The sequence below is a fragment of the Homo sapiens genome, chromosome 2 (assembly GCF_000001405.40).
Source record: "Homo sapiens chromosome 2, GRCh38.p14 Primary Assembly".
Taxonomy (NCBI): Eukaryota; Metazoa; Chordata; class Mammalia; order Primates; family Hominidae; genus Homo; species Homo sapiens.
Window position 1 is genome coordinate 190558852 of NC_000002.12, and position 14834 is coordinate 190573685.

General features: G+C 39.6%; 1 protein-coding gene and 1 long non-coding RNA gene across 13 annotated transcripts in view; one reads left to right on the forward strand and one right to left on the reverse strand.

Moving 5' to 3' along the window:
- Positions 1–14834, reverse strand: part of NEMP2 (nuclear envelope integral membrane protein 2) — a 227365-nt gene that overhangs the window by 137431 nt on the left and 75100 nt on the right. The window lies entirely within an intron of this gene.
- NEMP2-DT (NEMP2 divergent transcript) overlaps positions 1–14834 on the forward strand; it is a 104691-nt gene that overhangs the window by 24014 nt on the left and 65843 nt on the right. For 4 of the 9 annotated variants that reach the window (NR_183907.1, NR_183910.1, NR_183909.1 and 1 more), the window contains one exon: positions 9222–10999. This is a non-coding gene — a long non-coding RNA (NEMP2 divergent transcript). Of the gene's footprint in view, positions 1–9221; positions 11000–14257; positions 14341–14506; positions 14569–14673; positions 14808–14834 lie in introns of those variants that run through there. The other 5 variants (NR_183902.1, NR_183905.1, NR_183903.1 and 2 more) reach the window with 4 other exon arrangements.

Consider the following 14834-nt stretch of genomic DNA (forward strand, 5'->3'; position numbering starts at 1 on the left):
CTTTGCATGCTAATTCATACACAGATTATGGATAGCATATATATATGTGTATATATGAATATTATATGTAAAGAAAATATGATGAAACTTTTTTTACCCTCGCATTTTCCATTTTAATCTATTTCATCTAGAAAAGCTAATGTGATTCACTAAATTGGTTGCACTTCACAATGTTTTCTTACTTTGGTGGCAGTATGTAAGAAGGATGGTAGAAGGGAAATAGCAAGAACATTCAAAGTGAAGATAGGCCAGAATAATAGAATATAAAGCAAGACAGTGGCAGTGGGATGGAGCTAAAATCCACTGGAATTGGTTACCAGTTATCCATGAAGATAATGTTGGGTTTCTGGCTTGATTGAATGGCCATTCTATTTACTGGAGACTAGGAAAGCAGAAAATGTAAGTTTGGAAAGAAAGATAATTGACTTCCATTTGGAAGTGATTTTGAAGTATATGGAAAGCCTCTAATAGGTAACTGGATAGGAGAGTTGCAGCTCAGGAAGAAGGTGTGAGTGGGAGAGAAAGATGAAAGATTCAGGACCCTTGAGCGTATGAGTTCTGATGGAAGCCAAGGGAATAGAGATGAGGTTGTCAGGGTGAGTGTAGAGAGTCAAATGAGAAGGCCAAGGAGAGAACAGAGAGAACCCTGAAGAACACCTTCACTTCAGAGGATGAAGAAGAAGAGCCTGCAACAGAAATGGGCAAGCAAACCAGGAGAGTAGAGTGTCACATAAGCCAAAGAAGAGGACGTTTCAGGAGGGAACAGTCAGCAGTGTCCAATGCTAGAGGAAGGTCTGGTAAGACAAGGTCTAGCAATTAGGAAGCTATTATATTCTCAGAGTTAGCAACAAAAAGAGGTGGTGGTTTAGGCATGCAGTTGTGAGGAGAAGGGTGGTAAACATAGCAGGTATGTCCTGGGAGGTGAGTGGAGAGGAGTATCCTGGCCCCTGGCAGCAGGTCCAGAAGTAGGTGAGGTTTGGCTGCTCCAGGGAGGTAGCTGGCACCCGGGAAATCTGTCAGCCATTGCAGAGTTGCAAGCTTTGCTCTGGGATTCAGATGCAGATAGGCAGTATCTAAAAGGAGGAGGTGAGTGAGGCAGAAGCTCAGTCCTAAAAGGGTGGCAGTTCTGGTCAGGTCTCCAAGCCTGCAGCTGATGCACAGGGATTTAGGCTGGTATCAGCTCTGGTGTGCAATGTGTGGGCCAGACTCAGGACATAAAGCAGAAGACCACTTGTAAGTACTGATGCAGAAGATCAGGGCAAAAATGAGAAGCCAGGTGAGTTGCTGTGTTAGAGATAAAAACTACTTCCATTTCTTCAGCCTGGAAAGAGGACTGATTTAAGGTAGGAGCCCGTGGGTGGGAGTCAAGCAGTTTTGCTGCTGGGATAGGAATGCTTCAGAGGGTTGAAAGCAGTAGGCAGAGGCAAATCATGAATGCAGTGGTCTCCAGGCTGGTGTTCATCACTAGATCACACTTCTTTTTTTCTTTATTCAACTGCCTATATGACTAGCTTCTCAAATGCTCATCGGTTTTAACATCTCATTGTTCTCTCATCTCAGTGTGTTAAATACAATTTCTATATCTACTCATTTCTACTTGCATGTTAGTCATTTTATCTTTTTTAAAATTATACTCTAACAGCATACATAATGTAAAATTAAAGAAAATATGACATTTGTCCTAATTATTTTGGATCACCTTCTTTTAAAAACAAACTGAGCATCTGGATTAAAATTTTGTACATCTGAACCAATATGCCACTTGATCTTAGGTGATACCTTCTTTTTTACCTCAACAAATATTTATTGAGAGCCTACTCTGGACAAGGAATTTATTAACTTCTAACCAAAAAATGTTAATTAGTCTGTTGTTTGAAGTGCCATCGACTTATTGTGCATTTGGTTCATTCATATAACATCCTCAAGGTGTGTAGGAAGATTAGCCACTTTGACTCAATCCTGTAAACTGTAAGCTTTAATGAGCTGAGCTCTGGGTAGAATTAGAAATACAAATACCAGTTTTTATATCTCAGGTTACTTTTAAATATCAAAATACTGTATTTGTTGGTACAATATCATTAGATTAGTATATCTAACATCAGAAATCAAAACCATTTATGTTTTGAGAAATACTCAGAGAATTTATACACTATGTTAATATTTCACGTGGAGCAGAGGTGTGCCCAGTGCTTCTTCCTCGAGGACTAGGAGAGATATGGAGCAGTGGGAAGGAGGTTCCTAGGCCCCATTACTACCTTCCCATGCTGGGGCTTGATGCTGTCTGCTCCCATCAGGACCGCTCATTCTCTGTGGCCTTCCCTCCTCTCCTAGAGTAATTTATTTCAAACAGGCCCTTCTTCTCCAATCATCCTACTTGAGAAGAGTCAGGAAGTAGGAGAGAGAAACCCCTGTCTTGGACCTTAACCCTGTCTCAGATAGGGAACACCTGGGGACAATGTGTAGCAAATAATGAAAACTATGTGTATTGGCCTGCTCGAGCAAGGGTGGCTTAAACAACAGGAAATTTATTTTCTCACACTTCCAGAGGCTAGAAGTCCAAGATCAGGATGTCAGCAGGTTTTTCTTCTGAGACCTCTCTCCTTGACTTGTCTTCCCCTTCTGTCTTCACGTGGTCTTTTTCTATGCAAGTCTATGTCCTAATTATAAGGAAACCAGTCAGTTTGGACTAGGGCCCACCCCTAATGACCTCATTTTACCTTAATTACCTCTATAAAAGCTCTGTCTCCAAATATAGTCCCATTCAGAAGTCCTAGGGTTTGGATTTCAACATACACTTTTTAGCAGAGGGGATGGGGGAGGGAGGTTGGTGGGAGAGGTAGGAAGAGTTCAGTCCATAACACCATATATGTCTATCTTTTTAAAAATCAAATACAGGCATTTATATATTCTGCAAAATAAATGCCAAAATACCAGTACTGCAATTAATGTCACAGTTATTCTCATAACATAATGAGCTCAGTTGCTTAATTGCATGGTAGAAAGGTGGATTTTCTATTTTAATGGCCCCTGGAAGAGTCTCAGAGGCTACCAACTTTTAAAATTTTTTAAAATAAGAGGATCTTAATTTTTATTTTACTATGTAGTTACTGTTGCCCATCTGTTTCATCTTGCCCTTGACTGGATATTCTTAATACATAGAAATGTAAATGAAAAGCTAGTTTTCAAAGGGTAATTAAAGGACTTTGGTAAAAAGGAAGAGAGCAACCAGAAATATTTGATTTAGGATGACCTGGATGACTGAAAAGAGAAAATCCAAATAGTTTTTTCCCTCTTTGGGTAGTCGACCAAGAAGTAAGCTCAGCATCTGAATTAGCTCAAAGGGAAAACAGACCAGTAGAAATGGGGTGTGAACTCCATAGCTAAGCTCTGGTCTGATAAAGTGACTTCCCAGCCAGGAAGCTCACACTGTTACACAGTGAGCTAAGTGTTCCCAGTCCCTCCCATCTGCCCATAGATATGTACAGCAGCACCACGGTGGGGCTCTTTCTATTCTGCAACCAGCTGTGCCAGCCCATAGAGTGCCTCACTTCTCCATGGAGCATTAAGCACTCCCTAGCTTCTTCCTCCAAGTTTCTGCATTACATCTCTCCCTGGAGGCTGCCATGGGTTGGGGCTGGCACCTTTGCATTCCATCCATGTTTGCTTATTGATGGATCAATTGATTGATCAGACTTTACAGATTTCCTATCCCACCCCTTGGACAAGTCCTTTTAAGCTCTCTAAGTATCAGTTAATTCATTCTGCAAAATATGGGAAAATATGTAAAATATGGGAAGATGGTCTCTATGACTCTTTTTTGCCCTAACTTTATATAAATCTATGCTACAATTTCAGATTTTAAGGCATATTTTTTTAAATATCATGTATAGCTACAAAAGGAACTATAAATGCCATCGACTAACACATAGGGAAAGAAAAGTACCCTTTTCTTCCTAGGGTCTTAAGGCTTATTTTAGATGGGAAATTTGAGTTTACCTCAACCTTGAGTTTTCAACTCATTCCCCTGCTCTGTTTTGGGCCACTCTTGTTTATAGAGGTAACTCTGAGATCACCCTAAAACTATGTATAAGCTGAAATATTCATTATCAATGTCAGTGGCAGGTTCTCCTCCAGTGATCAGGCTATAAAACACAAATATAATTCTGAAAAGCAAAATTTTATAAACACAAAATGACTATCTGTATGATAGCATTATCAGCAAAGCTTTGCTCTTCCTCTTCTGACTAGAATTTCTAATTAATTGTTTTCTAATGCTCTTTTATACAGCCCTGTGGAATGTTTCCTTGAGACATTCACATATGCAAGGTGGCTTTGTGCTGTGTTCTCCTGCCACCCACTCATCACCCACACGCACCTGCCCTCCTGCTCCCCGCTGACTCAGCGGCCCAGCCTCCTCCCACACAGGCCCAGTGACCCGGCACCCACTCAACCACCTTCTTGTTTGTTCTCCCACAAACCCACCCACTCATCTTCTCTCCTTCACGCAGGTAGACGTTTTCACACTCCCACTGCTCAGCAGACAAAGCTCAAGAATGTGCTTTGGGCGGTAGTGGCGGGGTGAGGGAGAATAATTTTTTTCTAATGACCATTATGTTTTTTTCCTTGATCAACAAGTTTATCCACAAATGAGTAGTTGATAAACAGTCATTTTTATGCTTAGATTATTTTTTCAATACTTCCTCTACTCAATAATTGGATTTTCTATTTTTGAAAACTCTACCACAACGTATATGTATACACTTTGAGCATTGTAACTTGTTTCAGTGAAAACACACTCCCCATCTTTTGTCTAAATTGAAATATTTCACTCACATTTTGAAGTGAACGGGTGCACCAATGAGATAATGGCTTATTGGGATGGTTATTTGTAATGATGGTGTCTGAGCTATAGCTGGAATCAATAGGCTGCCTGACAAGATTAATTGGCTGTGAATTATGCCAGAGCAATTCCAGAGCCAATACCAGAAACAAGGGCCAGCCCACTCATCAAAGCCCTGCCAAGGCCTCCCTACTCTGTGGGGCTGGCCCCAGGGGAGGCGGGGAGGCCAACCTCTGCTACTTGTTTATGTTTTTAAGGCTACTAGAAAGGCTTCCCTGAATCACCCTAATGTTGCTATCCTAATGTTCCAGAATTAAAGTCACTCCTGAGTCCTCTGAGTATTTAGAGTATGAAGAATTAGAAAGATATTGCTGCAGTTTCTTCCCATTCATGGCAACTATTTTTATCCTTTCAAGGAGCTCAGATCATATGCCACATGGTGTGAACAGAATCTATTCTGCAATATTATGAATCCAATCTTGAAGAGGAAATATGTGTATAATAGTGGATTTTAAGAAGTGGACTACTGAATTTGTGTTTACTTATTTATTTATTTTTTGCTTTTTAAATATCATAACTAATGTGAACTCCAGGAACCATTTGTCCTTCTCTTTTATCTCTCCAAGGTGTAGCACAGTGCCTGACATGTAGTAGCACTCAATCCATGGCTGGAAACTTGCTTCAGATCCCTGGCATTTTATCTTGTCAGCACTAAGCTTTAGGGCCAATTTTATTCAATTTTATATGTACCAGTCTTTTACTCTTGATTTTGAATACAACTACTCTTTCCTTTAAATTTCCACAAAAATTTGCTATGCCCTCTTATGTATTTTATCACTTTCTCTCTTGAATCATATTTAATCTTAAAGCTCTTAATGGCTCATAGGACTTTTAAGGCAGATCTATATGATTTAACTTTGTATCCCCACCTAAAGCAAAGCTTCTCACGTAAAAATCTCCACATATAAAAAGGTGCAAGCTGGGTGCAAAAGCAAGAGACAAGTAAGGACCTCTTGGCTCATTCAACTGCCACATGGTGATAGAACTGCCACTAAGTTTCTAGTTGCTGGATTCTCGCTAAAGATGGCAGAATGAACACAGGCATATCTCTTATATCTCTTCTCTCAATAGAGAACAGGAGAGGGGTGATGAGTAGATGAGACATTTCATAAATATTTGTTGGAAAGAGAATGGAGGAAGGTTAACTGATGTAAAAGGAGAGAAAGCCATAGTCTAAAGTGTGTGCAGTGGGGTGTACTGAAGATAAATAAGACATTTCACCTTGAAGACCTGAAGGAAGCTCAAGACTTGGAGTCATCAGTCTTGGCAGAGAGTGGGGGTGAGGTACGGAGTGCAAAGTTTGAGATAAGTTCAAAGCTTATGTATGGAACAGTCAACTACTCTTGTGCCCCAGATACAGAATATCAGCAGCCAAGCTACTCCCTCCTGCTCCAGGAGGAAATACGAATTTTTTTTTTAATCAAGAGACACCCAGTAGGAATGGCCTGAGCATCAGAAAAACCAAGCCTGATAGAAGAAAGAAGGCAGGAGGACCTAAACAATCAAATGAATTGCAAGTCTGCACTGGGAATGGTTGGATTATCTGTGCTCTCTCCCCTCCTACACAATGAAAGCACTATTAATCAGGGAACTAACCCCTAGGCCAATGTTTCTAAATTGTGGGTTATGAACTCAGTTATGATTAGTGGAGTATAAAATCTGTTTAATGGGTCATAACCAACATTTTCTTGGGTTGGGTTCCTTGAGAAGCAGACTTTGAGGTGGAGTTGAGAGTTCAGAACATTTATTAGGGTTTGTCCTTGGGACCAATATCTGTGGAAGGATACAGAATTGGACAAAAAGAGAATGCGAGCTGTGATACAAGACCCAATGATTATTTCACCCAGCCCCACGAGGAGCACTGAAGCTAGACTGGCTTTTCAGAGTTGTCCCACACCAGGCCAAGATGTCCAGGACTTTATTCTCTGTCATAGGCTGAATTGCATCTCCCCAAAATTCATATGTTGAAGTCCCAACACAGAGAACCTCAGAATGTAGCCTTATTTGGAAATATGCTCTTTGAAAGGATGATTAAGTTAAAACAAAGCCATTAGGATAGGGCAGTAATCCAGGAGTATTTGTGTCCTTATAAGAAGAGAAAGACACACAGGGACACCCACATGTACAAAGAACAGTGAGACTTCCAGCCACCAGAACTGTGAGAAAATTAATTTCTGTTGTTTAAGCCACTAAATCTGTGGCATTTTGTTATGGCAGCCCTAGAAAACTAATATCTCCCCCCACCCCCCAACCCTTACTGGATATGGCCACAGGAAGTATGACCCTGGGCAAGGCAGCTCTGCACTGAAGCAATCCCTGAAAAGGCCAACAACTGAAGAGTCCCCACCAGCAGCCATCTCACAGTCTGGGGCAACTAGTCCCTTCATTGCAGTGTATCTAATGGATATATAATGGTCCATCACAAACATGAAAGAAAATAAAATTCAGTAGACTAGATAGAGAATGTCAGAGAGCATTCTATGAAGAGAAAGTAAATATTGTTTCACAAAACATTTTTGTCTTTATAAATATATGTGAGTGTGTTGACTGGGACTTGATGAAAAAGAATTTCTTACTGTCAGGTTTACTGGGCACAGTGGATCATGCCTGTAATCCCAGCACTTTGGGAGGCTGAGGTGGGAGGATCACTTGAGCCCAGGAGTTTGAGACCAGCCTGGGCAGCATGGCAAAATCCTGTCTGTACTAGAAGTACAAAAAATTAGCTGGGTGTGGTGGCTGAGGTGTGAGATCACCTGAACATGGGAGGTCGAGACTGCAGTGAGCTGTGATTGCAACACTGACTCCAGCCTGGGCTACAGGAGTAAGACTCTGTCTTAAAACGGGAAAGAAAAGAAAGAAAATAAAAAAGAAAGGAAGGGGAAGGGAAGGGAGGGGAGGGGAGGGAAAGGGAAGGGAAGAGAAGGGGAGGAAGAAGGAAGGAAGGAGAGAGGAAGGAGGGAAGAAAAGAAAGAAAGAAGGAAAGAAAGAAAAGAAAAAAAAAGAAAGGAAGGAAGGAAAGAAAGATTCAGAAGTCACTCACCTAGGAAATATAGGGGGTTTTTTCCCCAAAAAAGTTAAATATACAACAGATAACAGGTTTTCCATACCATACAAAAGTGAAACCCATCACTCTACAAACACCGTCTACCCACACAGAGCTCTTCGTCAGCTTTTGAGTGCTCTATTCTTAAATATAAGTCGGCAAAAAAATACCATGAGGCATGTAAATCATACCTCTAACCTAAAAGAGAGGAGGAAACATGAAAAACAGAAAATGGAATATAAAGGGAAACTATAGAAAATAGAAAAATACTGTTTAAATGCTAATTTATAGCCTGAAAAATTATGAGATTTGTATCTATAAAATAAAAGCAGAATGCGATGATAAAAGAACAATTAGATAAAAAAGGAAGGAGCTCTTGGAAACTAAAAATATAATTTTAAAAACTTCAGTAGTAGGAGTAGGAGATAAAGTTGAGGAAGTCTGCTGAAAATAGAACCAAAAGATGAGTAGATTAACAATAAGAAAGGAAAGGTATGAGACTTAGACTATCCATCTAGTAGGAACAATATCTGACTACAAGGAGCTCAAGAAAGAGAAGAAATGGAGGAAAAAGTATACAAGAAAAGTTCCCAGAACTGAAGGCTATGTCTAAAAATCGAAGGTACCAAGTACTCAACACAACAAATAAAAAACGGCCCACACCAAGGCACATCATTGAGATGTGTCAGACCATTGGGAATAATGAGAGAATCCCAAAAGCTTTCAGAAGAAGAAAAAAGAATTAGTCTTATGCTAAGAGTAGGTATCAGAATGCATCAGACTGCTTGCTCAACTACAATATTGGACTAGGGAAAGCAATGAACGATGCCTTAAGAATTATGAGGGATAATTTCATTTATTTATTTATTTATTGAGATGGAGTCTCGCTCTGTCACCAGGCTACAGTGCAGTGGCATGATCTCGACTCACTGCAACCTCTGCCTCTTGGGTTCAAGTTATTCTCCTGCCTCAGCCTCCCAAGTAGCTGGGACTACAGGCATGCACCATCATGCCCAGCTAATTTTTGTATTTTTAGTAGAGACAGGGTTTCACCATGTTGGCCAGGATGGTCTCGATCTCTTGACCTTGCGATTCGCCCGCCTTGGTCCCCCAAAGTGCTGGGATTACAGGTGTGAGCCACTGCATCCAGCCAGGATAATTTCTTTTAAACCTAGAATGCAATACCCAGCTAAACTATCAATGAAGTGTGAGAGCAGAATAAAGATAATTTCAAACAGAGGAATTCAGAAAACTTATGTCTCATGTATCCTTTTACAGGAAGCTACTGCAGGATATAATCTAAGAAAATAAGGGGAAGAAAACAAGAAAGAGGAAGACATTGGATCCAAGAAATGGGGGATCTATCACCTTACAGATGAAAAGAGAATCTACATGATCTTTGTGAAGGTGATTTGAGCATAGCAGCTCTGCAGGAAACCTGGAGAGCAACAAGTGAGATTAATACAGGACACACAGCTCTAGTAAGGATGTCACTAAGGAAATTAAAATCATTTGTTGTAGAATACTTTATGAATCAATGCAGTAAGAGGAGGTTTACACTTCTGGTGAAGAATAGGGAATGAATTTGTGATAGGCATGTAGAAAATTATGCAAACAAATAAAATAATAATCAACTCCTGGGAAAATAGGAATTTGTACCAAAAGTGTCAATATAATCTTATATATATATGCCTCAGTTTTGAATAATATTTGTCATTTTAATTATGTAAAAACTGAATAATTATCGGCCGGGCACAGTGGCTTACGCTTGTAATCCCAGCACTTTGGGAAGCTGAGGCAGGTGGATCACCTGAGGTTAGGAGTTCGAGACCAGCCTGACCAACATGGAGAAACCCCGTCTCTACTAAAAATACAAAATTAGCTGGGCGTGGTGGCGCATGCCTGTAATCCCAGCTACTCTGGAGGCTGGGGCAGGAGAATCGCTTGAACCCAGAAGGCGGAGGTTGCTGTGAGCCGAGATTGCGCCATTGCACTCCAACCTGAGCAACAAGAGCAAAACTCCATCTCAAAACAAAACAAAACAAAACAACAAAAAACTCAATAATTATCAGAGAAAAACACTGTAATATAACTATATTGAAAGAATAAGAAGAGAATGTAAGAGACTAAATCCGTATCTCCCACAGAAGGGAGTCATAGATAATAATATCTGGAACTGAAAAAAAAATCAAGAAACAGCAGTTTAAAATGTGGAGATAAACACCAAAAGAAACAGCTGAGGCCAGGTGTGGTGGCTCACACTGAAAGACTTGAGCAAGTTTGCTTTTGGGAATGGAAATGGAATTAGAACATGCAGGTTGTACAGGGAAAAGGGCTGCTCTTTGTCTTTTAGACTTTGAGGAGCTATTTGGCTTTTAAAGCTCTGTGCATTTATAACTTAGATGGAAAATATAAACAATTTTAGAAAGAAAAATGACAATATATGTATTTTTGAGATATGGAGGCAAACATTCTAAACGCTAAAAAGAGAAAAGCTTGAGAGTGGTTTCTTTTGGGGAGCAGGACAGGAGTTGATTTTCACTGTAATTATTACTAAGCCATTGATTTTATAGAGTTGTGAGGCCATTACCTTGAGACAAATTTTAAATAAAAAAAGGAAAGTCCAGGAAGGAATTCAGGCATGAGGACATTTAAGAACTTTGAATTTTAGCTTTGTTGCTTGTAGTTTCCCAATTTTAAAAATCTTTAACATCTTCCATACCAGGAGATAAGCAGTAAATGAGAGAACACATTTGGAAGCTCTTGGTAGACTGAAAATAACTAAGGGAGGTTCCCTTCTTTCCTCTTACAGATAAAACTTGGTTTTCAATAGTATAAACTCAATCTTTGAAAAACCCACCTCTTTTCCTAGACTCACAAGGGTGCTTCCATGACATCTTGGATATAAAAGGAATACTTAGTGTACATGTGAATAATTAAGTCATTTTTTAAAATGCCCTATGTGAAATAAGAAATTACCTCTGTGTAATTCAACTAGTCTTGCAATGAGACCCTTTCTCCAACAATAAAGTGCAATAAATAATTTACTCACATGACTTTTCTCAAGCTTTAATGATTTTTGAATGAGTCCCAGATTCCATTTTTATTTACAGCAGATTCCATTTTTATTTAACAGTAATTAGAAACAATCCACTCATTGTGGAATGCCATCAGAGCTGGGCTGTGGTGAATGGGTTAGGAGTAGGGAATTGAGAAATTGATCCCCACAGCTCTTGGGGTAGGCAGTCCTCCTGGATCAGTAGCCTCTGGACAAGAGCAACCAAATTGTTTTACCCAGTGTTGTACAATTATGATTGTCTTTGGTTGCCATATCACAAAAAAGGTTGGGAAGCACTGCCTTGAACAGTTGCCATAAAAATCCCTTATAAGGACTGATAGTCTGATAGTCATTTAGGTAAAGTCTTGTTCATTTGTTTACTTACAAAATGTATAAGAAAATTTGCATATCTTTAAATGAGTTTTTGATGTTTCCAAATCTGAGTGGAAACATGTAACATTAGGTTTATGAATGAGTTTGAATAAAGTTCAACTACAAGTAACTTAATAGAGACCCCAATATAATAGTTGAAACAATTTATATCATTATTCCTTCCTGTAAAAAGAACTCTGGAGAAAGCCAGCCCAAGGGTAGCATGGTGGCCTCGTTGTCTTCAGGGATCCTGGTTCCTTTCAGCTTTTGCTCTTACATGGCCAAGGTAATCTTCTTAGCAGGAAGCTAAGCCTCCTCCTCGGAGCTGGGAGCCAGAATGTCCACACCCCAAAGACAGGATGAAGCAGGAGGATGGAGCAACAGGATGGAGGAGGAGAAGAACAGTGCACCCTTTTCCAGGGGGGAATTCCCAGAAATCACCATTCTATTTCCATTTGGGTCTCCCTAGTCACATGTCCACACAAAGCTGTAAGCATGGATGCAAAATGTGTTCTTTTAGTGGGGTAGTGCTATGTCCAGCTTAAAATAGCAGTACTATTAGTTTGAGAGAGAAGAGGGAAAAGGGATATTCAGTAGGCACCCATGTCTTTACATGTTTTAGTAACTGCCATGTAATTCACTTCAAACAAAAACAATCTGTCCATTAGTCATTTTATATATACTGCTAGAAAGGTTAACATAAGCATTAAGGAAGACCAGTTAGCAAATTTATTGTTTGGAGTCCCGATTACATATTTTTGTTGGATTTATTAATGATTTAGGCACTGTGGATAGAGGGTAAAAACTCAGATTCTGAAGCTGATTGCCTGGCTTCCATCCATTAGCTGTGTGACCTTGGGAAAGTTGCTTGAATGCTCTGTGCCTTAGTTTTATTTTCTGTGAGATGGAGATAATAGTAATTGTACCCATCTAATAGAATTTTGGAGGATTACATAAGTTAATACAGTACATGTAAAGTACTTAAAATAGACTTAGCTACTAATACATCTTTCTCTTGAATTAAAACCTTTTCCTTGGCCAGGCACGGTGGCTCACGCCTGTAATCCCAGCACTTTGGGAGGCTGAGGCAGGTGGATCACCTGAGGTCAGGAGTTTGAGACAAGCCTGGCCAACATGGTGAAACACTGTCTCTACTAAAAATACAAAAATTAGCCAGGCGTGGTGGTGGGCGCCTGTCATCCCAGCTACTCTGGAGGCCGAGGCAGGAGAATCGCTCGAACTCAGGAGACGGAGGTTGCAGTGAGCCAAGATCCCGCCACTGCACTTCAGTCTGGGTGACAGAGTGAGACTCTGTCTCAAAAAATATAATAATAATAATAATAATAAACCTTTTCCTTTAGACTCATAAGTAGCTGTGACAATCAGATTCACTCTCTTACGAATTTCCAGGTATGCAGTATTTTCTTGGCTTTGCATTTGTAGATATGCTGATCCCTAGAGTCAAACCACAGGGTTTTACTTGAGCTAATAAATGTTGTATCCCATAGTAGCATTATGAAAGGGAAAGGAGTTGGCATTGGCAAAATTGAACAATAACTGGTTTGTCTCTTTTCCCTCCCCTTCTCCCACTTCTTCCTTTTAATAGACTGTACTAATGAGATCACCTCCCTGCCCTCCACACACACAGTCTGAGTTTCCTGTTGCCCCAGGGCTGCATAGATTCTTGGTCTCTCTACCCTCTCCACCTCTCCCCTCCCCATCCCCTGCACTACAGCATGCCTTGCCTGGAGCCCTTCTCAGTTATGCTCCCTAATCATTTCTAGCTGTTCAAAATGATGAAATTGCCCAAATTGGGGCCATTCAAAAAGCCATTTCTATGTGCTGCTTTATTATTTTCTGGGGTTTTTTTTAAAGTTTCCTCAAATGTTCCCACAAATAGAGAAGGTCTGTTTTCCTTCCAGAAAAGCAATATTTAAGATAAATTTTGATGATTAGTTGCATTTAAACTATAGCTAGTATATTTTCTCAGCTTTTTTAAATAATAAAAGTTAGAATAAAGAAATCTCAGGAAAAAAAGGAAAAAATGTATCTTTCCATTAACTTGTGACTTTCATCTTTGGACCTAAGGCAACTGCTTCAGTTATTGCTCTTTCCTTTCTAGGAGGTAGGGGTAAATAAGGCCTATAGAACATGTGCCTCAACAAGTTTTTTTCTGGGCAAAACTGGGAAGTTACACACATTCCTTCTGCTCATATTCTATTGACAAGAAATTAGTCATGTGGCAATAACTAGATTCAAGGGAGGCTGGAAAATGTAGTCCATAGCTGGGCATCCCTGGTAGGTAGGAACTCTATTACTAAGAGGAGGAAGGGAGAGCAAATATGGAGCATGTTAGCAGTTTTTGCCACACAAATGTATCACACAGTTGCAATATAGTAAGATAATTTTATTTTGCTTTTTACTTAACATTATATCAAGAGCTTTTTTCCCATGTTACTACATGGTCTTCAGAATTATAAAGTAGTGGCTTTGTAATGATGTGTTGAGTGTATAATCAATAATTATTTAATTCTTCCTGTTGTCAAAAGTATAGATTCTTTCCAGTTCTTCACTATTACAAACAACGTCACAATAGATCTTTTCATGAGTATATATATATATATATATATATATATATATATATATATATATGTATATATTTTATCTTTTGGGAATAATTCCCTTAGGATGAATTCCCAGAACTAGGATTACTAGGTCAAAGGGTGTGTAAACATTTTATGAATCTTAATGTTTTTGTTCCAAATTGGTTTCTGAGAAGACAGTTACCAATTTGTTCCCAAAAGAAAATGTGGACATTTTCTTATAAATGTGGGTGGAAGACACATTCACACATCCCTATAGGTAGGTTGTTTTCATTTTTCAGGATCTGGCTAGAAACAGCACAAGGCAGCACAGGACTTGAGTCTGAATCCCTTGCTCTGTCACTTCCTAGCTATATAGCTGCAGGCAAGTACTTACTCTCCCTATGCCTCTGATTTCTTATTTTAAAGTTGAGGAAACAAGTAATTCCCTCATAAAGTTGTGTGTTAATCATTAAGGCTGTTGACAAATACTCTGTTTTCCCATCTTCTATGCACGTTAAAAATGTAATCTCCTATCTCTTTGAAGACAGATATGACCTTGGGACTTGCTTTAGCCAGTGGAATGGAAGCAGAAGTAACCTGTAATTTCCAGGTATATGTTTTAAAAGTCTGTGTGTAATTTGCTACTCTTCTCCCTTTGCCGTATGCCTGGTTTGTCTCTTTTCCCTCCCCTTCTCCCACTTCTTCCTTTTAATAGACTGGAAATGTTCCAGATAGTACCAGCTCTTTAAACCTGAGTCCTAGAGTAAAGATGGCAGAGTGGAGCCTCAAGCCAACGTGTGACAGATATGTAAATAGACCAAGAAATAAATCTTTGGGTGTTTTGAAGCACCTGAGACTCTGAGGTTGTCTGTTATT